This window comes from Homo sapiens, chromosome 2, assembly GCF_000001405.40.
Source record: "Homo sapiens chromosome 2, GRCh38.p14 Primary Assembly".
Classification (NCBI taxonomy): domain Eukaryota; kingdom Metazoa; phylum Chordata; class Mammalia; order Primates; family Hominidae; genus Homo; species Homo sapiens.
In genome coordinates, this window is record NC_000002.12 from 74,922,885 (window position 1) to 74,947,800 (window position 24,916).

General features: G+C 42.6%; 2 long non-coding RNA genes across 13 annotated transcripts in view; one reads left to right on the forward strand and one right to left on the reverse strand.

The window, feature by feature from the left end:
* LINC01291 (long intergenic non-protein coding RNA 1291) overlaps positions 1-20,610 on the forward strand; it is a 34,534-nt gene extending 13,924 nt beyond the window's left edge. For 2 of the 3 annotated variants that reach the window (NR_189601.1, NR_189602.1), the window contains exons 2-5: positions 8,534-8,652; positions 9,777-9,906; positions 15,424-17,855; positions 18,154-20,610. This is a non-coding gene — a long non-coding RNA (long intergenic non-protein coding RNA 1291). Of the gene's footprint in view, positions 1-8,533; positions 8,653-9,314; positions 9,406-9,776; positions 9,907-15,423; positions 17,856-18,153 lie in introns of all 3 variants that reach the window. The other variant, NR_125792.2, reaches the window with a different exon arrangement.
* The window catches only part of LOC105374809 (uncharacterized), a 40,654-nt gene that overhangs the window by 4,659 nt on the left and 11,079 nt on the right, over positions 1-24,916 (reverse strand). For 2 of the 10 annotated variants that reach the window (NR_187877.1, NR_187878.1), the window contains one exon: positions 5,378-8,159. The exons of 1 other annotated variant lie outside the window; for it this stretch is intronic. This is a non-coding gene — a long non-coding RNA (uncharacterized LOC105374809). 7 more of the 10 variants (NR_187875.1, NR_187876.1, NR_187884.1 and 4 more) reach the window with 6 other exon arrangements.

A 24,916-nucleotide genomic window follows, 5' to 3' on the forward strand; every position in this document is an offset into this window, starting at 1 on the left:
AAAATCCTACCCTTTCCTCCTTGAATCTCGCTTTCCTAAGGGGCAGAGCTAGGCCTTGACAGTTATTCCCTAATCAAATCTAACTTCCTTTCCTGCCCCCTCTCCCCTGCCACCATCACAATGATTGCCTCATGAGGAAATTTAATCTCATCCTCAGAACCTGCCAAGTTGAGCACTTCTGCTCGCTGATGATAAAAAGAATACCCAACTCTCAGGAAGAAAAAGTCATTTGGCTGTTCTCTGACAGTCCCTCCTCATCTGAACCTCACCTTTCCAGAGTGGGAGAGAATTTTGTCCCTCTCTGCTCCCCACTTGCCCCTGGCCCCGGTTATCTCTGGGCATCTCTCTTTTTCTTCTCTTTTCCTTTTCTTTCCTTTTTTTTTTTTTTTTTTTTTTTTTGGAGACGGAGTCTTGCCCTGTTACCCAGGCTGGAGTGCAAAGGCATGATCTCTGCTTATTGCAACCTTTGCCTCCCGGGTTCAAACGATTCTCCTGCCTCAGCCTCCCAAGTAGCTGGGATTACAGGCACCTGCCAGTTAATTTTTGTATTTTTAGTAGAGATGGGGTTTCACCATGTTGGCCAGGCTGGTCTCAAACTCCTGACCTTGTGATCGGCCTGCCTCGGTCTCCCAAAGTATTGGGATTACAGGCATGAGCCACTGTGCCCAGCCATCTCTCACCCTTTTGTCCCCCATTTGAAACTTTGCCACCAGCCTGGTCCTGGCCACAAGCAGGGTCACATGTTTTCCTGTCTTACTTCATGCCCCTTTCTTTTTTTGTTGAGATGGAGTCTCGCTCTGTCATCCAGGCTGGAGTGCAGTGGTGTGATCTCGGCTCACTGCAACCTCCACCTCCCGGGTTCAAGTGATTCTCCTGCCTCAGCCTCCTGAGTAGCTGGGACTACAGGCACCCACCACCACACCCAGCTAATTTCCATATTTTTAGTAGAGACGAGGTTTCACCATGTTGCCCAAGCTGGTCTTGAACTACTGACCTCAAGCAATCTGCCCTCCTCAGCCTCCCAAAGTGCTGGGATTAGAGGCGTGAGCCACCATGCCCGATCACCCCTTGCTTTTTGATTGTGCTTCAGCCAGCGCCCCTCCCGAGGCAGGTAAAAGTGGTATTTTTTTTTAAATTTTATTATTATTATACTTTAAGTTTTATGGTAAAAGTGGTATTTAGGAGACTCTTGGAAATGAGATCACTGACCAGATACTTGATAATGTTAGGAATTTGTGTTATCTAGATGTGGTGAAGGCACTGAGGTTATATATATATTTAAAGGAATCAGTTTCTGAGGTATAGCTCAAAATATTAATTGACGAAACCAATCCCAAACCAAATATTTGGGATTTGCCTCAAAATAATATCAGAGGGGAGAAATAAGTAGGGTTTTTGGTTAAAACAAGATTGACTATAAATTAATTGATGGTTGCTGAACCTTGGTGCTGGGTACATGAGGGTTCATTGTGCTATTTAACCTACTTTTGCATTTGTCTGAATTTCTCCATGATAAAAAGTTTTTTTTAAATGTTAGGCATTAAAATGAAAGACAGTAAACTCAAGAGCTCTGTGTATGTAAGAGTGAGAATGGGGTGGCAGAACTGGGAAGGGGCCTAAAGTAGGTGAGTGCAACGAGGCAAAGTACAGCACATTTCTGCTTTCCTGGAATAAGTCTGTAAGCAGCCACAGCTCTCCCAACCCTGCCCCAGGCCCGCTGTCCTCAGCTATGACTAGCAGGAGTCCAGGGTCCACTGCTGGGAGCCCACCTCCTCCATCATGTCTTGCTGGAATCCCGGGGGCTTATGCAGGCCTGAATGGGGCTCCCTGAGACTTCTGTCTAAGGAAGCCATGCACTGGCCAGCTTCATGGCTGTGGCTGCTCTTTCCCTCTCTGACACGGGATGCTTTTGCTGGGTGATGGCCCCTTACCTTGGCTTCTGCTGTTTTCTTTTCCAGCAAAGGGTGCTTCTCTGGGTGGGGCTTCAGAAAGAGGCTGGCCCCATAGTGCCTCTCCCTTCTAGGATCCGCTCTGCCCCGGTAGTCTCTTTTATTCTCTCAGGGTGCAACCCTGGGCTGTGGTTTTAGGTGCCCTGCCCTGGTCTTGGTGGGGCTGGCCCCGCCCCATAGGACAAGAAGTTCATGGGCCTTGTCTGTGTGCCACCCAGGGCCAGTCCTCCTTTTGGTGCATGGTTCGTAACCCAGGGCCCAGAATTCCCTGCTCAAATGTCCCAGCCTCTTCCAGGGCTGTGTGAACCTCTTCCCATCTGTCCCGTCTGTGGTGAGGTCACTGAGGCCTCAGGGATAGCTAAGGGGTGGCTCTTATTAGCGGCCTTTACACAGAGTTTGGGCATGCGGGCTGAAGTGTTTGTTCAGTGCCTGCTGGTGGACCTGAGAGGGGAAGAGAAGGTGGGGTGCTGACCAACTGCCTTCATTTATACTTTTGCCAATATTAGAGGCAGATGTGGGTCTGGGGTCTATTTAGGAAAGGGAAAAATGTGATTCCTTTTTCCAACTGTGTCCCCCCTTTCCCTAACCTTCCTTTCTTGTAGGGTGGATTAACAGTTTTTTTTTGGCAGAAAAACACACCAACCAACAAATGAACAAAAATCAACACCCCAAGCTATGCATACAAAACAACAGGCCCAACCCACACACTGAGAAATCGGACACTCAGCAGGCCACTCTGCCAACATGCTTTGAAAGGATACTCTTAAGAGGTTTTGGAGGTAGGGTTAACCTCCGAAGGGGACAATAGGGACTGATGTTTGCCTCAGGCTGGTAGGGACAAAGGGCATTGCAGAGGAGAAGACAATGGAAGTGAGCCTTGTGGGCTTATTTGGTGGCTGGCAGCTTGAAGGTTTCTCCCTCTAGGGCAAAGGTTTCCAAGCTATTGTTCACTGAAGAGCCTCCTCTTCATACATAAGCTTACCTGGAGACCCAGTATGAGAAACAAATGTTAGTGGAGATATTCTGGCCAAAACAGAGTTGGGGGCAGGGTTACTGTCCTGCTTGGTGACCTGCCTACTTTGCCCAAGAAACAAGTTGAAAACTTCCACATCTCGGGAAATGCCCAGGTCAGGCTGCATCAGGGCTGTTCCTCAGGAGCTCAGGGACAAAGTGAAAGCAAAGGACACCAATGCTGGGTGCTTGGGACAGTGTCCTGTTCTCCTCATGTGGTGGTCAGTGCCAGTACACATAGGCAGTTTTCTGCCTTTAAATAAGATAACATAAGAAGCTGTTTGTAAAGTGTAAAGAACTGAGCACGCATTAGGTGATTTCTTTTCTTTTTTTCTTTTCTTTTCTTTCTTTCTTTTTTTTTTTTAGACAGAGTTTTGCTCTTGTTGCCCAGGCTAGAGTGCAGTGGTGCAATCTCAGCACGCCGCAACCTCCGCCTCCCGGGTTCAAGCGAGTCTCCTGCCTCAGTGTCCCCAGTTGCTGGGATTACAGGCATGTGCCAGCACGCCTAGCTAATTTTGTATTTTTTTTTTTTTTGAGATGGAGTCTAGCTCTGTTGCCCAGGCTGGAGTGCAGTGGCGCGATCTCGGCTCGCTGCAGCCTCTGCCTCCCAGGTTCAAGCGATTCTCCTGCCTCAGCCTCCCGAGTAGCTGGGACTACAGCTGCCTGCCACCACGCCCAGCTAATTTTTTGTATTTTTAGTAGAGATGGGATTTCACCGTGTTGGCCAGGATGGTCTCGATCTCCTGACCTCGTGATCCACCTGCCTCAGCCTCCCAAAGTGCTGGGATTACAGGTGTGAGCCACCGTGCCCGGCCCTGTATTTTTTTTTTTTTTTAAGTGGAGATGGGGTTTCTCCATGTTGGTCAGGCTGGTCTTGAACTCCTGACCTCAGGTGATCCACCTGCCTCAGTCTCCCAAAGTGCTGGGATTACAGGCGTGAGCTACCACACACAGCTGCATGAGGTGATTTCTACCAGTGAAGGGTAGGTGTGGGTGTTTTGGGCCTGGCTGTTCTATCTCAGGGCCTACCATTGTCGTCTTGTTCACACTCCCTGTGCTGATTATGAAGCTGATGTCTCTAAGGTCAGACCCACCTGTCTGTACTCTACCCTGTGATTCTGGGGCTGGAACTTGGCGAACCACACTGCTCTGTGGCCAGCTGGCTCCATGTGGGGCTCTGTCAGTAAGGAGGGATGGCAAATTGGCAGAGCAGGGACTTGCCTCTTCCTGGGACTGCTTCTTGTCCCTGTGAGCATCACCCCAACAATGACTTTTCACCTTGCAGTGGCAGTTTACCTCAATAGCAATGGGTTCCAGTCTTCAACATTTTCTGGACTCTCAAATCCAGCCTCACAGATACTGTGCAGTCGCCGCTCCTTAGAAGCCTAGGTCCCAGCTCCGCAGGGCTCCTCTTCCAAGCTTTGAAATTATTGCAACCCCAGTATCTTCCCTGTGTTCTTCAGCCCCAGAGGTAGAGCTGCCTCTGGCAGTTACCATCCCTGTGTTTATCTTGATACTTCCTTTTTGCCTTTCAGCCTCTAATACCTGCTTACTCAATTGCCTAGATTAAATTATTTCTGTTAAAATGCAGGTCCTTTTCCTGTTTTCTTTCCTAACTAGATCTGACTGTTAACATGCCCCTTGGAGGCATTGCCTGAGAAGCACATCAGGGTGTAGCCTTACCTCTCTGTGCTGCTCCGAGGACCCTGATCTCAGAAACCCTGCCAGTGGCCCCAACATGTGAACCATCGTGGTAAAAGAACTCTCTGATCACAAGAAAGTCCCCTAATCTAAGATAATGTTGATAAACAAGCTAACTCCAGGAGGGAGGGTTTAATTTAAGAAAGCCAGTAGGGACCCTAAATCTTTTCATTCCAATCAAAGCTGTCAAAGCCAGTTATCGTCAGAGCCAGTCAGGTGGCCCCAAAGCCGCCATCTACCTGGCAGCTGTCCTGTCACCACGGAAACCACAAGTTGGTGAACAAGGCCCGAAGGAACCCTGCTGAAACTCAGTTGCTTGACATATTTGTCATTATCGAGTCTGCCAGAGTGCAGCATCTCTTGCAAGAGTGATTCTCTGAAACTTCTCCTGCTTCAATCCCTCTACCCATTGTTTCCCAAATAGAGAATATGCCCACCTCTGAGAAAGACATGTGCTGGCAGGCATCACAGGCCCAAGAGGAGGCACTTGTTTACTCGACAACAGACAAGGTGACTGTCTGCTGCATTGGCACCAGGACTAGCATTCTTTGGGCATCCCCAACTACCTTTTCAGGCCCCCGTGTCTTCAGGCTGTCTAGGTCCTGGACTGGTGGTCGTCAAGTCTGCCCACCCTCACTATCCAGCAGCACCAGTGGAGCATGCTTCATAACTACCCTTTCCTCTCTCCGAATTGAGTTTGATGTCATCACCCTGCAAACGATGAAACAAATCCCCATTTTATTGATGACTGATAACTTCAAATGTGACAAGAGGATTCATTTCCTTATTCAATCATTCCACAAATATTCACTGAGCATCTCCTACGTGCCAGGCACCAGGCTGGACTTTAGGATCAATCATAATAATTTTCAGGTTATGGATAATGCCAATGGGCACTTAGGATGATCAGGGAGGGCAGTTCTGAGAAGGGGCATATGAGCTGTGTTCCAGTTGTCTATTGCTGTGTGACAAACTGCCCCAAAACTTAATGGCTTAAAACAATGACAGAAATTACATTACTCATGAATCTGCAGTTTAGGCAGGTGGGGACAGCATGTCTCTGCTCCACCTAACATCAGCTGAAGGTGGGAACTGGAATCATCTGGAGGCTTCCTCACTTACATGTCTAGTGGTTGATGCTGACTGATGTTGGCTGTTGGCAAGGACCTCTGACAGGTCTGTTCCCCGAAACACCTGCATGTGGTACATGGCTTTGTCACAGCATGATGGCTGGGTTCCAAGGGTGAGCCTCACAAGACAGAGAACCAGGTGGAGGCTGTGCCATCTTTGGTCACCTAGTCTAAGAAGTTACAGTCACTTCTATACCATTTAATTCATTAGTAGCAAGCCACTGAGGCTAGTCCATGTTCAAGAGGAGGGGAATTGGATTCCCCCTTTTTTTAGGATAGAAAAGAATTTGTGGACATGTTTTCAAATGACCACAAACTATGACCTAAAGAAATTAGTGGAAGAGCATTCCAGGAAGAATTGTAAAGTCTCTGATGCTGGAAAGGCTTGGTGTGTTTAAGGAAATGAAAGGCCAGAAAGGCTTGAGCACAGCAAGGGCAGAAGGTAAGATTTGAGGTTAGATGTGGACAGAAGCCATATTAGGCAGTTATAGGTGCTTGGATTTTATTCTGGATGCAGTGAGGGCTGTTGAAAGATTTAAGGTTTGTATTCACTTCTTGAAAGGATCACTCCAGCTAATATGCAGAGAATGGATTGAGGTGAGATAAGGGTAGGGAAAACCAGTTAGGATGCTATTGGAGTGGTTTGGGGAGAGAGAGTGATGGCTTGGACAAGAATGTTGGCACTGGAGATGAAAAGAAGTAGATAGAAATGGTGGAAGTAAATGAACAAGTCTACCAGGAGACTGAATGTGAGAGAAGGAAAGGAAGGCAGGAAACAAGAATTCTTGGGTTTTAGGCTCATGTCCATCTTGATGGTGGAGCCCTTTCTGTGATTGGAAGACTAAGAGAGGAACTTGTTGATACGGGCAAAAGGTAAAATCCAGAGTCCAGTTCTAGGCACGTCAAACTTGAGAGGTTTGTAAGGTATACTGAAGGCAAGAAGTAGACATTTGGATATATGAGCCTGAAACTCAGTGGAGAGCTTGGGACTGGAAATATAAATTTGGGAATTATCAGCATATGGATGGTATTTAAAGCTGTAGGCCTCGGTGAGGTCACCAGGGGAAAATCTAGAACAAAAGAGTGTGGAGACTGAGCCCTGTAAAGGGTAGCCTGCAAAGGAGATTGAAAAGGAGTGGCCAAAAAAGACAGCAGGGAAACTAGGGCATTGGATGTTATAGATACCCGAGAAAGCGTTGGTCTGAATGACCGTTAAGACTCCTCCAGATATGAATTTCTGTAACTTTATGGATGTTTCAAATCCCTTCAAGCTGGGAAATTCTGTCTCTGTTGCATCTTTGGGATAACAAACTTCCTGAAGAATCACTGTGTCTTTTCAAAGACTGAAAATGGATTCCCAGCAATGTGAAATCTTGTGCCTGAGTCCTAAAGTGATCAAAGGTAAGGTTGAGCCTAGGACAAAATGAGGATCCCCTGGAGGGAAGCTAGGGCAACACAGTAAGTGGCAAAAGAATACGAGTGAGGTTATTTGACTATCCTCTTCCAGTAGGGCTGGCTCAGCTATGGCAGACCCCAGGGTGGTTAGGACAAATGGCAGCCCCATACAGGGACATACATGGACACTGATCCTTGTTTTTTTCCTTTTTGGGGCCTTTCTGAATCTCCACTCCATGTGCAGGGTTGACCTGTTTCCTTGAGGAACTCTGAGATTTGCATCAATGGAGTTATCTGAGGGCTCTGTGGCTTGGGCTCTGTGCAGGAGGGCAGCCTGGCAATTGGATTGTTCCTGCTGGCTGGTGCCATTGTGTGATATTGAGTCACCAGAATGGTGCCGATGCACTGCTTTTGGGTGATAATCAGGCGCAGGATGAATTCGGGGCACTGGGCTACTGATGGTCAACTGTTAGCACCTGGGCTTGGGCTGTGTGTGGGCACCCATGCCTCAGCTCTCACCTGTTCATGTTCCTCCATGGTACCATCTCTGATTTGTGGCGTTCAAAGGCGTAGGATGGCAGCAAGCCTCCTTTACCCTGTATATCCATCCCCTTGCTGTTGGCACCTAAGGTTGTCACCCCATGCCCTCATCAGTCTCTGTACCACATATCAGGAAGTCCTCCAGTGGTGGCTATGCCTGCCTTCTCTGAGGACTTTAAAGACCTTGGCTTTGCCACGCCAACAGGCTCTTCCAACCAGTGCCTTTCCTCCAAATGATATGGCGATGTTTTGCTTTCCCAGGTCGATCTTAAGCCATTCCCAACAAGGAGTGGACATCCTTGTGTGAAAAACACTGTTTTTCTTGCTCCAGTCACGTCTCCTTGCCTTTCTTGTCTTTTGGTGGTAGTGTGCAGAAGCAGAGGTGCAGGAAATGTTGAAAGGGATCACATTCTAAGAATGTAGTTATAATGGCCTGAAGAATTCAAGAGAATACATGGTTGGAAGATGTGTCACTTTATGGTTACACTATAAAACTCCAAATGAAAAATAAATTATCATTCATACTTTCCTGAATATTCTGGGTAAGGCTTGCATTTTGGTCATTATTAATGAAGTACAGAAACAACCTCTGAGAGAGTGGTTGGATGCCAGTATTTGCAGGTGCCACGATGAATGATGCAGCACTATCAGTCAAGATGCAACCAACATTAGACAAATGGTATCAGAGAACCACAGAGGCGAAAAAACAAAACCAAAACCCAAAACTATATTGTTTCAATACAAACAGGTTCCAAAAGCTATGACATCGTGAGTGACAACAATGTTGCCGCCTCTTTCTCACAATAGGAAATAAAACTTTAACCAAAAGAGCATGGGCAGATATTTCCCGGATCTGAACAGGAATAGCTGGTGTCTGGACTCTATGAAGAATCTTCATGTGCAGTGATAGAAGAATAAACACATTTGTAAGTACCTCTTCTCTATGGATTATTCTAAATCTTCATTGACAAATGTCAGCACCTCACATAGGCCCATACATTTTGAAATACCTTTTAAAATTAAATTGTTTAGATAGGCAAGGGTCTTATAAAATATTTTTTTAGGGCTTTGTATACTAGGGGTGGCCCTGGTTACTGGTGATCTTGAAGATATTGTCTCAGTGGCCTGGTGGTGATAAATACCTCACTGGAGTAAGTGCAAGCGGAGTTAGAAGAGAAAAATTGGAGACAATGAATATAGACAAGTTAATAAAAAGGACTTTTTCTATAAATAAGAGCAAAGAAGTGAGGCAGAAGTTGGAGGGGTGTGGGGTAAAGAGTGTGTATTTTTTAGATGCATTCATGTATTCTGTTAGGAATGGTCAAGTGGAGGGGAGAAATTGATGATGTAGGGAAAGGAGAGAGAGAGAGAGAAAGAGAGAGAAGCAGAGTGAGTTTCTTGAGTAGGCAAGAGGGGATGGGAGTCTGATGGAGAAGTAGAGAGGATGTCCTTAGAGAGGAGCCCTGACATCTCAGTCACTTAGCTGGTGGGAAGGCAAAGGATGTGGGTGCAGATACTGGTAGGTGTGCAGGTGTGGTGGTGCGAGCTTGCAAAAGTTCCCAATGCTTCTATTTTCTTTGTGAAATAGGAACCAAGTTCACCATGGAGAGAGTGAGTGGGTTGGGGAAAAGGTGTTGTATGTTTGAGGAGCGAGGAGAAGGTGTCAAATAATCATCCAGGTGAGCAGATTAGTGAGCAGCATGAAAATGTGATAGGATTTCTGGCCACACTAATGACCGTTTGAGACCTAATGACAAGACCAGTTGGACCAATCAGTTGGGTTGTTGTTGTTGATATTGTTGTTGCTTTCTCTAGCCGCATATAGCTGCATAGGGGCTGGTGTGGAATAGGCATAGAATTTGATTTCACCAGGGTTGGGGTGCTGGTTATCACCTCTTGCCTCTCAGCTCCAAACCCACCTTCATTGCTTGCTTGTGATATTGGAACCTTTCCCCTTGCTTAGCTAGTATGATGTTATATGCTTCATCAGTAGGGGACACTGGAGGATGAACAGTATTTCCTAGTTTAATGTTTTTTTTTTTTTTTCTAGGCAGACTTTTGTAGTGCACAGTGACCGGTGACCAGCAGCATGTGTTTCCATAGGCATCTTCTCTCAGTACCCCAGAAGGTGAATTGCCAGTGAGTCCTGCCAGGATGCCCCTCGGTGACTGCACCACCCAGTAAGTCATGGCTGTGTACTTCCCATCAAGGTCTGGATCTCAGCTCAGGTAGTGGGGGCTGCTCTTCCATAGTCATTCCATCCTTGTGTGCTCTGCCTCAGCCCTGGGGATAGTGGCCGCTTTCTGTACATGTCAGTCCTCTATTCTTTAGACTTCTTGTTACCCCATTAGCAGCCAATTCTCTTTTGTTACTGCTTAGCAGCCAACTTTTTTTATATTAAACTTTCCCCAACCAAATTATAGTGTGGTTTCTGTGTCTTAATTGGACCCCGGGTGATACAGTTTGCGTTTTGAAAGTGAAGAATTGTCGAAGTGATGTTCATCACTTCTTTCTTTTCATTTCTGTATTTTTATTGCTCCTTTCTGTCTCCTTCCCCAGTAATATATAAACTTACTCAAATGTCTCCTACCTGAAAAATAAAACAAAATGGAAGCCATAGTTGGCTTCTTATCTTCCTTTAGTTACTGCTCTGTTTACTTTTACCATCAAGTTCCTCAAAAGAGTACACTCTAAATCTGTGGTAGAAAGAACTGTTGTTCCCAACTCCTAGTTTCCCCCTGTAATAGGGTGACACAGCCCTGCCCATGGTGTGACTTGCCCATTCTCCCTGAAGGGACACGTGCACCCCTGCTCCACTGATGTGGGGCTTGGCCTTAATTGTTGCTTTGATCCGTGGAACATGGGTGGAAGCGACAAAGTGCCAGTTCTAAGCACAAGGTTATGAGACAAGGCATATTTTGGTTCGTCCCTCTTGATCTTCTGCTGTCTGCCATGAGAAGAGAATGTCCCACAGTATGGTTGCTCTTTAGGCCTGGGACCTGGAATGAAAAGACAGGCAAAGGCCAGCTGAGGGTCTGCTCTGTGGCTAGGGCTGTGGCCACTCTCCCATTCTTTTCCCTGGCACCATCTCAGGTCCAGGAATAAAGAAGAGCAACAAAAGTTTTCATTAGACTTTAAAAACTTTGAGTCTTACTCATATTTAATCCTTAGTTGCTGAAGAAGTGACTTTCATATATAGGAGACCCTAAGGGGGTACATTCTCAGTGAAGTGACAGCCATGGGGGAGGGAAAGATTGATCCATATGAGGACTTCAAGGTCCTGGCATATCAGGACAGGTCTTTAGGAGTCCTGTTGACATAAATAAAATAGGTAGATTATTGAGACTGAGGCCAGGCCCTAAACACTAGTGTATTAATTTGCTAGAACTGCCATAACAAAATACCACAACTGGGTAGATTAAACAATGACATTTGTTATCTCACAGCTCTGGAAGCTAGACTTCTGAAATCAAGTTGTTGGCAGGATTGGTTCCTTCTGAGGGCAGTGAGGGAAGGATCCATTCCAGGCTTCTCTCCTTGGCTTATTGGTGGGTGTCTCCTTGTTTATATCATATTCCTGCTGTATGTATGTCTGTCTGCCTATTTCTCCTTTCTATAAGGACACCGGTCACGCTGGATTAAGGCTCACTCCTTAATGACTTCATTTTAACTTAATGATCTCTCTAAAGACCCTCTATCTAAATAAGTTCACATTCTGAGGTACTGATAGAAATACAACATGAATTTTTGCGGAGACAACATTCAACCCATAAAAACTAGAATTAATATTCCTGAGAACAAGGGGTGGCAAAGCCTCCTCCTTCATCTGGGGTGAGGGGAGTCTTCTGAGTAGATAAAGAACTCCTTTTAGGGTAGAAAGGAGCTGAAGTTCATCCAGTGCAAGTACTGAGTGAATTTATTCTAAGGTCCCAAGACAAGAGAAAGATAAAAACAAAAACGGATGTATCACTGAAGGAGATGTGCTCGGCCAGCTTCCGGCAGCAGCAAGAACAGTGGGTATATAAGCTCCAGTAGCCAAGGTTGCCCAGGTTACCCTTTTCAGGGGCAGCAGTAGAGGCATAGTTGGTTCCGGAGTCAGAAAGACCCAGCATCTTCTGCTGATGCTCAAGCTGCATGTTTTTTTTCAATCTTCGCAGCTACAAATTTTTATCCCAATGGGGAGCACTGTTTATAGGTTGGAGGATTAGGTTCCATAGGAAAGAAAGAAAATGAGGAGAGACACATTGGACAAGTTGGTGGGAGACTGTGCCACTCGCCCTCTAGCCTTTGACCATAGACAAAGATTAAATAAGGTTATATAGATAGGAAGAAAGAAGTAGAGGGGGCAAAGAACCAGGTAGCTGACTCATTTAATCCTCCCAAAAGGGTTTTTCTTATTGCAGTTTCTTTGCAACTCTGACCATATTGTAATATTAATCAATCAATCTATCACTTGCCTTTGTTGATATTTCTGTACCCTCCCCCTGCCCTAAATTTATATGTGGATGCCTTAACCCCCAATATGACTGTATTTGGAGATAGGGTCATTACAGAAGTAATTAAGGTTAAATGAGGGCATACAAGTAGGGCATTAATCCCACAGGATTAGTGTTCTTATAAGAAAAGACAACAGAGAGCTCCTGCTTTCTCTCTCTCTCTCTCTCTCTCTCTTTCTCTGTCTCTCCTCTCTTCCTTTTTGCACATGCACAAAGAAGAGGTCATGTGAGCATGGAGCCCGAAGGTGGCCATCTACAAGCCAGGAAAACAACCCTCATCAAATTGGCTGACACCTCGACCTTGGACTTCCCCCTCCAGAACTGCGAGAAATTAATTTCTGTTTAAGCCACCCAGTCTCTGGTATTTTGTTATAGCAGCCCAACTGGACTAATGAAATTTATTTAAATTATATTTCCCCCATTAGAATGCAGAAACCAAGCATCTCCATTTCCCAAATACCACCAGTACCTGGCATGGTAGCTTTCACATGGCAGACACTCAATAAATATTTGTTGAATGAATGATTAGTAAATCAATAACATAATAGGTAGTATTATCCTCATTTTAAAGTGGAGAAAATTGACAGATATGAAAGGATGCTTAATACTCACAACCTAGGGACACAAATGGCATTTCCTTAACCAAAGTTAGTTGAAAGTGGGCCAGGATAAAATAACATCTTCAGACACAAACTACATTAAAGATTGCTTTAGCTGATCCAAGAGAAGGGTCATATTTGTTCCAATTTCAGTCTAGTGTCCTCTCTGTAAAAGGGATTAGAGATTTGCCAATCCACATCTGGTTCACTCCCTGTAAATCAATGCCCTCAGAGTCAGTAGACAGACACAAAGCTTAGAGGAATTTAATTGCCAAAGGCAATGTGGGGATATGAGAGGATGAGCATTTGCTGTCTCCTGAGAGACCTCACAGGGTGGCACTGCCTCGGTCCAGGGTCTGGTCTATGCCCTGCAGGTTTAGAAACTGGATCTGTCAGCACACTGAGAGTGGATCCATCCCTCAGCTTCAACTCTAATTAATTAAGCTCAGAGAGCTGATGCATGAAACCAGCATGTCAATGTATTGATTCACAAGAGGGATAAAACTGCCACTGTGTCTGGAACACTTGTCTCTACATGACTTGCACATTCTTTTAATGAAGTCAGACCTCCAAGGAGGGCAAGTTATCAGAATGTTGCTTAGTGAGCGTGGAATCCAAAAGAGCTAGCTAGTTAGATGATTCAAACATTTAATGACATTAAGCTAGGAGAGCCGATACTGCCACGTTTACTGTAGGAACGGCCTTTCTAAAGGTGTTAGATTATTCAAAGCCATTGGCTGAGGCACCATCTCCAGTGGGCACTTCTTACACGGGCTCTGCTGATGTTCACCATTCTCATGCTCCTGTTTTTATGCTTTTTATGGCTGACTAACCCTGCTTTGACTGGCTCTTTTAGTCTTTGTACTTGCTAAGCTTTCAGACATATTCTGTCTGTTTCAGATGACTTTATCCATTGGTTTTGATCTGTTTTGTGTAGAACTTAATTCTCAGACAATAATCTTATTTCTTTAATTTACTCATATTTGTGAAAGTTCTCACGAAACTCTTCAATAGCCAAATAGATAGATGGCTTCTTGTAGTTCTATCTTACTTTATTTGAAAGATATATTTGAGAACACTTATCAGAGACTCTATGTCTCATCTTTGTACTGTGCCCAAATCACTTACTTTCTCCATTTGTAGATAATCTCCAACTTAATTACTACTTGTTGATTTTTGAAATTTGCTCATTGAGTACCACAGACCTTGGAACAATGCAGGAGTTAGAAGTGCCATTCCCCTCCATGCAGTTGAAAACCCATGTATAACTTTTGACTCCTCCAAAACTTAACTACCAGTAGTCTACTGTTGACCAGAAGCCTGGCTCATAACAGAGTTGGTTAACACGTAATTTTGTATGCTCTATGTACTATATACTGTATTCTTACAGTGAAATAAGCTAGAGAAAAGAAACTGTTTTTAAGAAAATCATAAGGAAGATAAAATATGTTTACTATTCATTAAGTGGAAGTAGATAATCACAAAGATCTTCATCCTCATTGTCTTCACATTGAGTAGGCTGAGGAAGAGGAGGAAGAGGAGAGGTTGTTCTTGCTGTCTCAGGGGCAGCAGAGGAAGAAGAAAGTCTGTGTATACGTGAACCCACGCAGTTGAAGCCCATGTTGTTCAAGAGTAAATGGCAATGTGATCCATAACCTGGGACACTCTAAAAGATAACTCAGTTGGATATTTCAAAATGTTAATATCAAGAAAGAATGGGGGGACTGTTCTGTTAAAAGAGTCATCATAATGAAATATAATGCATGAAACGTGATTGGGTTCAGGTTAAAAATATAAATGCAACTATAAGAGATATTGTTGGGAAAAGTGGAAATTCAAATATGAACTTGTTATTCAGTGGTATTATGAACAATTGCTAATTTCATTTGGTGTAATAATGGTAATGTAGGGGACTGTCTATGCTCCAGAGATGTAGGCAGGGTGTTTCGGGTTGAAGAGTTACAATGTCTGAAACTCGGTGTTAGATGATTCAGCCAAAAACAAACAAACGATGTCTATCTATCTACACAGAGAGAAGCAAACATGGCTAAATATTAGCAATGTCAAATCTAGGTGGAGAGTAAATGAATATTTATTTTACTATTTTTTAAAAAATTTTACTTTAAGTTCTGGGATACATGTGTAGACCATGCAGGTTTGTTACATAGGTATACATGTGCCATGGTGATTTGCTGCACCTATTAACCTATCATCTAGGTTTTAAGCCTTGCATGCGTTTAGGTGTTTGTCCTAATGCTCTTTCTCCCCTCATTTTACTATTCTTTCAACTTTTGTCTATGTTTGAAATTTTTCATACTAAAAAGTTAAAAAAATTATGTATTATAATAAGTGGTTTGTAAATGTAGTGGTAAGAATAAAAATTGAGCAATATTTACTAAAAAGTAAAATTTGAGAACCTAGGAGATAATTGTCTCTTGGGAAATTGGGTCATTCCTTCACCTCCCTAGGCTTCTACTTTCTCACTTCAAATCAGGGAGGTAGAGTTGGATTAGGAAAATCTTTAGTGTCTATTGAGGTGTAATATCCTAGAGTTTGATGTAAAGTATAAATGTACTCAATTTTGTTTGCTCTCTCTTCTTAGGTAAAAAGACATCCCTTAACTATGGCAAAACAACAACAACAACGACGACAAAAAACAAAACAAAACAAAACAAAACCCTGCATCAATTTGATAAATAATCCTCCCCGTTGATGTCACTGGTTTTTTTCTGCACATCTTCTCACTGATATTTAAATGCTGAGCTTACACTTTCCATGGACATGCTTAATGACTAAACAATAGTTGAATTCTAAATTAATCAACTGACCAACCAGTAAGAATTTATTGAGCAACTCCTTTGAAGCCGTCTATCTGTTAGGTGCTGTGGGAGCACAAAAGAAATAGGACATCATCTCTGCCTCAGGGAATTTAGTGTTTTGGGGAAAACCTGAGTGGTATACACAAAGCAATTGAGGAACAACCTAGGACCTTGTAGTCCATTAGGATTTCCAAAAATAGAAAGAGAATGGAAAGTCACCTGGCTAGGAGAAGCCAGTGGAAACTTGACACGAAGAAAAAAGAGCAGCTAATTTCATTCCTGTCCACCAGTTATTTATGTGTTTATCTTTAATTACATTTGTTTGATTTCCCTTATTAAAGTCTGATGTCTTAAAAAAGCAGAAAAGTGAGGCAGGTCAGCAGGGGATGTAAGTTGGGAAGAAAGACAGGTGAGGGCAAGAATTTAGGCAGGAGCCACAGTGTTGGTTGTGCAGGTGAAGGTCAGGTGACGGAGGGTAACCAGTCATGGATGACCCAGGCAGGAGCCATAACCAAAATGTTAGAAAAAGTTGGTAAGAAATTGTTCCAGGCCAGGCGCAGTGGCTCATGCTTGTAATTCCAGCACTTTGGGAGGCCAAGGTAGGCGGATCACTTGAGGTCAGGAGTTTGAAACCAGCCTGGCCAACATGGAGATACCCTGTCTCTACTAAAAATACAAAAACTATCTGGGCATGGTGGCACGTGCCTGTAATCCCAGCTACTCAGGAGGCTGAGGCAGGAGAATCACTTCAACCCAGGAGACAGAGATTGCAGTGAGCCGAGATTGCGCCACTGCACTCCAGCCTGGGTGACAGAGTGAGACACCATCTCAAAAAAAAAAAAAAAAAAAAGTTTTCCAGGAACAAGGGCAGAACTTAGCTACTGAGTTCTACCGAAGGCCAGGATCTGAGTCAAGCACCAAGGTTAACTCCCAGGGAAGCCAAATGTTCATAAAAGGAAATCTTTCCAAATCACAAATATCAGGGCCTGCTAGGTAAATTCTAGCTTCTCTGTGCCAAGGGCTGTGTTCCTACTCTCAAGCGCCACTCACTGACTGTCTGGGTGGTGCTGTGGGCTTCTGTACTTTTAGCTTCATCAGCTGCACCTGTCCTCTTTTCCCATAAGACGCCAGGACCCTCAGAATCTTCCCTCTTACCAGAAATTTGGGTTTTGGGCTGGGTCCCTGGACCGAATTCTGACACTCTAAGTGTTTGCAGACTATTTTGATAGAGGTAGTGATTATGATGCCAGAAAAGTGAAGCCAGTTTTTATTAGAATGTTGGCCATCTTGAATAATCCATTCCCCCACTTCCATGGGACATCTTCAAAGAGATTTTTAAAAGACAAATATGATCTCTACTAATGAGATATCTTCAGAAGGTAGAATTAAAGCAAAATTAATGTACACAGAATTCCTATTTCAATATATTTATTATTCACAACATTTCTACACACACACACACACACACACACACGCATACACACACACACACACACATTCCTGCACAGGTAATTTATAGTGGCTAATCCACTCAGTACTGTGGACTTTGGTTTTAGAGAGCATTGTTTTCAAGGGTAGTACAGATAATCTGCCTCCAACATATTCTATTCTTAGGGCTCTAAAGTCAAAGGAGTTTGTACAGACCCCTCCCTGCTAAGGTAATTATGTCCTCTTCATATCTTGCATGAATGTTTGCTCTTAGAGTGATGATCTGAAATATCAACATCCTGCAGGACCTAGTCTGGTCTGGAAGAAGAAGAGATATGTCATCTCTATGGGCTTTGATCTTGGTAGGCATATTTATTCACCAGGTACACAAATGCAACTTTAAACCCTCAGCCACATTTAGTAAACTATTTCTTCATCTGTTGCAGTCTTATTCTGATGGGAAAAATTTCCTCTGTTTTTCAAGTTTAATTTATTATTTTTTCAAATTACAAGAGCAATGCATATTATTGTAACCAGAGAGATAATGCCAAGATCGGTAGAGAAAAACTTAATAATCTCGACCTCCTATAACCATCTCTCTTCCCATCCCCCTGAGGTAATAGCAAATGTTAACAGCCTGCTACCTCTGCACATCTTCCTTCCTTCATGATTTCCCTACACACACACCCATACACACACGTGCGCATGCACACACACACCCACTCAAACACACGGTGTACGTCCAGGAGTCAGAAGTGGCTACAGAGATGGAGTCTTCATTATTAAGGTGAGAAAATGATAAGACAAATCACCCTTCTATTTCTACCTCCATGGAAAGCTAAATCTTCCATTTATATTTTTATAGTCTTTTCAGCACTGTCTTAATGGTCTTGAGAACATATTACCCTGAAAATGTAAAAATAGAGCCAAAGAGGTGAAAGCTCCTTGCGTGGCTTCTGACCAGGGATGGCTGCTTCCATGGGCTTTAGCTCTGCCAGTTCTCCCTAGACTGGGGCAGGTAGGCAGTGAGGATTTCAGCATATATTAAGTGCCAAATAGAAACAAATATTTGTTTCTATTATTAGAGTAAAACAACAGAAGCCTGTATTTTGACCAGAGGCCTGGAATCTACTACTTTGTGAATTAGCTAAGCAGCCCCAGTTGAACGTGAACCAGCCTGGAACAGAGTGGACTGCAGAGGCAATAAACAAGGATGTCGTGAAGACCCTGTTTCTTTCTAGCGTGGCATCCCAGGATAAAATATACAATTAATAGATACTGGAAGGCACACTTTCTGATTATGGAGAAACCATCAAATTTGGCCATGGTTTTGCATAGGGGCTAGGTTGGAAATTCAACTAGAACAATTTAATGTCTACTGGCAAAGCTTCTTAATTATGGAATGAAAGCTACCTCAAAGTGCCTGGAGGCTTGAGCTGAATGGTGAGATCTTCATTGACCTGACCTCCTCTGTGCTGAAGTTTGCTGACTTGAGGAGACCTCCCCTAAGAACAGACCCTCCCCTCAGGGCTGCCTTCAGCGATGATGATTGACGCTGGCAAGTCAGTCAAGTGGGAAGTTTGCAGCACACACGGCTCAAAGGACTCACCCAGTTTGCCCTGTTGGAGGATGTTAACCTTTGCACACTATTTTTGACATTTAATTTTTCCTTCCATTTAGTGCATGACTCTTTTTTTGTCTTTCTAGTAAATTCATTTAGTTAGTATTATTCTTTGCCTATTTTGTCTTTTAAACTTCTGGTTTTTAATCTTTCGTATTTTATATTATTTATTCTTGGTGTTCATGCTTCTTATTCTCTTTTCTGCTATTTTATCTTATTGTTGTGATAATAGTATATTTGCAGTAAGCTCCTTTTACTAACTTCATTTATTTCTACATAATGTTTTATCTGGCTTTGACCACAACTATATAAGGGGACAGCAAAGTGGAGCCACAAATGGGAAGATTGTGAAGAGGGCCCTTGACCAAATAAAGAGGAAACCTTTTCCCTGAAGAGGACTTTTCAGCAACCCAACTAATTCACTCATTTTTCTCAAAGTTGAATTTTCTTCCACAAAAACCCCTTGACTTTGTTATTGAGTAGATCCTCAGGCCTAGGAAAATAATGTCTACATCGACCAAGGAGATATCTGAACTACCAGTACTTCCTGCAGCATCTTTGTTTTGGTTGGCCTGGGCAGGTGGTGGGGCACGGGGGTGAAGGGAGGGGTCTGAGGTGGGTAGAAAACAAGGGTATCCCCAGGGCTATGGGAGGAAGGTCTAGTGGACTGGAACCATTGTATCTGTCGATTAGTGGAGGCAATCATATTTGTGATCCTTGAGCTAATGGTCTAGTAAGACTATAAACTTGTTCATAATTAAAGCTGGCAAGAGGGTTCTTACCCCAGGTAATGAGACAAGAGTGAACCACAGGAGGAAGCCAGCACAGAGACCGTATGTAATGAGTCCCTTCATGGGAAAGGGATGGAAAACAGTCCTCAGGCTAGCAGCAGAGGGAGTGCTGTCTGTTGTGGGTCTTGACCTGCTTAAGAGGTCTGACTTGAGGTGAGGCTGAAAGACAGCCCCGCTGGGGGCTTCAAGATAACGATGGACGGATAGAGTTCTCTCACCGCTGAATATCTCCTAAGGCATTAGTAAAACACTATTTAAATATTTCCTCTGTAACTCAGTTGTGCTATTAAAGCTCTGTTTCTCAAAGTAGGTCTGTAGATGTTCTTGAGAGAGTGAGTGTTTCATGAGAATTTTCAAATTTTCTGCTTTCGTTTTGAAGATAATCTTAAAGAAATAAAATCAAAATGTTCTACTACATTATTTTTAGTGCTGAAGGCTGAGTTTGGTGCCAAATGAAGAACAAATAACATCACGGCATGCTATGGAAATGTCGATTTTGCATTAAGTTTGAATAGAGAAAGATGTGGGAAAATTGATCAATTTTGTGGCCCAAAGGTAGTACAGACATCATTAGTTCAAAATGTCTTCTGTCATAGCAGTGGCATATCATGTTGAGAAGTTATTGTGAGACATACCAACTTGAACTGTCATTCAATAGCAGGAAAGAATACTGTTATTTTTATTCAATAGTATTTTTAATGTTAATCTTCAGTATTTTTATTATTATGTACTTATTGTGGTGCACTATTAAATTTATCAGCCCCTCAAACTAATGGATTAGTAGTTAAACAAGCTTATTTACCAAAAACGATTAATCCTACGATAACTTGAAGAAAGACTTAAGATATGCTTCCAGTATTGTTCAAAGTCAAAAGAATCAAGAGGACAGAAAGTGAAGCATAAAACATACAAATAGTAGGTGTATTAAACCCAACGCCAGCAATTTAGTTCCAGCAAAATATCATTTATCACACTGATGTTTTCTATATGAACTCTAGTGGCTTTTGTATGTTTGCTTGTTTTTAATTTGCAGCTTTGCTTGAGTTTTGAAGTAATTTAAGAGCTATATGTATGGGAAATTTATATCTGTTCATTTTGAAGTAACACAATAAAAATAATGTAGAGCAACAGTAGGATTTTATGGGAGTTTTTTTTTATCTTTTAAACATTATTCAAGCTTAAAAAATCTATGACAGAGAATTAATGGGAGGCTTTTATGTCTACTCTTTCAGTCTCAGGCTAACTGGGCCATAACACCTCTTCAGGCTGGGGTTGGGGTAATGGAAGCAATTAATGAAAGACAAGGAAAGAAATCGGGGATGAGTTAGATATTTGTGGACCAGTTCATCCTCTGAATGTGGATAACTACTACTTAGTCACAATCTTGGTGAATTTTGTTTTATTTTGAAAATCTAATATTAGGATATCTGAGTTCTAAGAAAACCAGGAGAGACTTGTAAGTGTTGACAAAACTTAATAGAGTAAAAGTAGATATTGGGGTAGGCGCAGAAAACTGGAAATTTAGGTTCATAGAACTGAGGTGAAATGTGTGTGTGACTGGAACAAACCTGTGTGTGTGTGTGTGTGTGTGAGCTTGTGTATTCATGGTGAAGTTCTCAATAAATTTGCCTACAATTGTGTGTGGCTGGTGGATGGGCTGTCTGGATGAATGGCATCACCCATGCACCAGACTTCTTTCCCTAAAAGTGTTTGTTCTGGGGGCTTTCCTGGTTGTCTCAGGTGTAAGTTCAGATGTACTCTAGGATTTTCTTGAGGTAGAAAACAAGATTCCATGACTGCTTTTCAGGACTGTTACTTTCCATTGCAACCAAATGTTGGAGTGACCATCGTGCTAGCGGGAGGCCAGCACTCTTTCTACTACCTCTCTCACTGTTTATTTCAGTTCTTTCTTGATTGCTGTAAACACATGTATGGCATGGACAGCCAGGTCTTGGTCAGGGTTAATCTAGGAAGGGTGAAAGGCAAAGTGAATCCAGATAGATAGATGTCATTAGAGTGAGAATGCCAGGGATTAATGGCATTTGTGACTTCATGGGGCCTCAGATAGCCACTTTCCAATTTTATGAATGGATACTACATTTACATAGAAAAACAGCATCTGCTCTCCCCAGTGCTTAGCGGTGATCAGTGTAAGTCTTGGAATGCCAGAGGGTGATCAACTGATGCTTTTAGCTGCTTGTAGTTCCTCCGTGTACTGGTCAGCTACAGGGTGGGAGTTCTCTGATATACAGAAACATGCCACGGATGCTGTGGAATGGACTCCTCCGGATGCAGTAACAGGGTGATAGTGCAAGTGCATTATCTGTTCAATGAGCAGCAGCAGTACTACAGGCTTAGGACCCGTTCAATACATTCTCCCTGACTCTATCAGCGAGTGATGGGTGGAACAAAGGTGAACTGGAAAATGGAGAGGCTTTGAGTAATACCTTCCAAAATAAGAATACAAATTGAGATCTGAGGTTTTCCTACTCTACGTTCTTACGATAACCCATAGTTTTCTTTTGTTACCTATAATAGTTTATAATGACATATTTATGCATTTATTTGGTTAATGTCTATCATATATCCTATATTTTAAGCTATATAAGGCCAGGAATTGTAGGTACTTTTATTTACCAGGGATCCCAGTGGCTAATACAGTGCCTGAATGTGTGGGTTTTTTACAAATTCTTTAAGAGTGACCCACTACTATTTCTGATTATAAGTATTAGTCATCTTGTTGCTGCATAACAGATTACCCCAAAATTTAGCAGCTTAAAACAACATATATTTATTATCTTACAGTTTCTGTGGGTCAGGAATTTGGGAGTGACTTAGCTAAGTGGTTCTGATATTAGTTAGGCTGCAGCCATTGAAGGCTTGACTGGGGTTGGAGGATACACTTCTTAGAAGGCTCATTCACATGAATGCTAGTAGAAAGTTTCAGTTCCTTTGCTGCTTATTGGTGGGAGGCCTCAATTTTTAACCACATGCATGACTTCATAGGGCTGCTTGAGTGTCCTTATGACATGACAGGTAGCTTTTTCTGGAGTAAGTAGTATGGGGATGCAAGGAGAGAGGGAGAGACAGGAGGAAGAAGCAATACTTCTATTAAAAATAGGCTTTTTCATACCGTAAAACTTACCCCCACCCTTTTTTTTTTTTTTTTTTGGACATAGGGTCTCATTCTGTTGTCCAGGCTGGACTGCAGTGGTATGATAATGACTCACTGCAGCTCTGACCTCCCGGGCTCAATTGATCCTCTTACCTCAGCTTCCCAAGTAGCTGGGACTACAGGCATGTGCCACCACACCAGCTAATTTAAAAAAAATTTTTTTTTTAGAGATGAGGTTTTGCCATCTTTCCCAGGCTGCTCTTGAACTCCTGGGCTCAAGCGATCTACCCGCATTGGCCTCCCAAAGTGTTGGGATTACAGGCTTGAGCCACTGTGCTGGCAAATTTACCCTTTTAAATTGTACAATTCTCCCTGGTCATCTAGTGTTTATGAAAAATCACCAAAATAAATGAAGTGTACAATTCAGTGGTTTTAATACATTCACAAGGTTGTGCAACCATCACCACTATCTAATTCTAGCATATTTCCATTACTCCAAAAAGAAATTCCATTATTTGTCGGCAGTCACTTCCTATTTCTCCCTCTCCCCAGGCCCTGGCAACCACTAATCTTTCTGTCTCAATGGGTTTGTCTAATCTAGACACTTCATATAAATGGAATCATACCATATGTAGCCTTTTTTGTCTCACTTCTTTCACTTAGTATACATGCCACATGGCAGCATGTATCAGCATTTCATTCTTTTTTATGGGCAAATAATATTGTACTGTATGAATAGACCACATTTTGTTTATCCATTCATTAGTCAATGGATATTTTGGTTGTCTTGGCTTTTTGGATACCATGAACTTTGCTACTATGAACATTTGTGTACAGGTTTTTATGTGGACATATATTTTCAATTCTTTTGGATATGTACCTATGCGTAGAATTTCTGGGTCATATGGTAATTATATGTATAAATTTTTTTGAGGAACTGCCAAACTGTTTTCCAAAGTGGCTGCATCATTTACATTCTGACCAGCAGTATATGAAGTTTCCAGTTTCTCCACAACTTGCCCACATTTGTTTTGCTGTTTTGATATTTGCCATCCTAGTGGGAAGTGGTATTTCATTGTGATTTTGTTTTGTATTTCTATTTTCCTAACAAATATTGATGTGCAACTTTTCATATGATTATTTGCCATTTGCATATCTTCTTTGGAGAAATGTATATTCAAATTCTTTGCTCATTATTAAATTGGGTCATTTGTCTTTCTATTATTGAGTTGTAAAAGTTCTTTATATATTCTAGGTACAGTTCTGGCTATCAGGTGTATGATTTGCAAATACTTTGTCTTTCCACTTTCTTGATAGTGTGTCCTTTGACACAATTAATTTAAATATTTTGATGAAGTTTGGCTGAGTGTGGTGTCTCACACCTGTAATCCCAGCACTTTGGGAGGCCAAGGTAGAAGGATTGTTTGAGGCCAGGAGTTAAAGACCAGCTTGTGCAACATAATGAGACCTTATCTCTATTAACAAAATTTTTTTTTATGAAGTTCAACTTATCTGTTTTTTTTTCTTTTGTTGCTCATGTTTTTGATCTCATATCTAAAAATTCTTTGCCAATCCAAAGTCATGAAGATTTAACTCCGTGTTTTCTTCTGAGTTTTATAATTGTTGCCCTTATTTGTAGGTTTTTGATCCATTTTGAGTTAATTTTTATGTATGGTGTGAGATAGTGAATTCAACCTTATTCTTTCGCATGTGGCTATTAAGTTGCCCTAGCACAATTTGTTGAAAGGACTCTTCTTTTCCCATTGAATTGTTTTGGTGCCCTTGTTGAAAGTCAACTGACCATAAGTGTATTTCAATTTTTGGATGTGATTATAAGTGGAATTATTTTATTAATGTGATTTTTGGCTCGTTCATTGCCATTGTATAGAAATAAAATTGATTTTTGCATATTGATTTTTGTTATAGTTCAGATATTTGCCCTACCCAAATCTCATGTTGAAATGTAATCCCCCTGGGGGGTGGGGACAAGATGGCCAACTAGAAACAGCAGTGTTCGAGGCTCCCATTGAAAAAAACCATAATAAGCATGTGAATGTTTCCCTGGCAACCAAGGTATCCAGGTTCTCTCATCAAAATTGACTAGAAGGCTGGCATGACCCACAGAGAGAGGGAAGAACAGTGCAGTGTGGTGGCCCACCTGAGAACCACATGGGGTAGGGGTGGCGGTGAGTGAGAGTGCTACACAGCCGGGGAAACTGCTTTTTCCATGGAACTGTGCAACCTATGGATCGGAAGATCCCACTCGTGAACCCATGCCACTGGGGCCTAGTGTTCCAACCCCAGAACGTGCAGATTCTTAC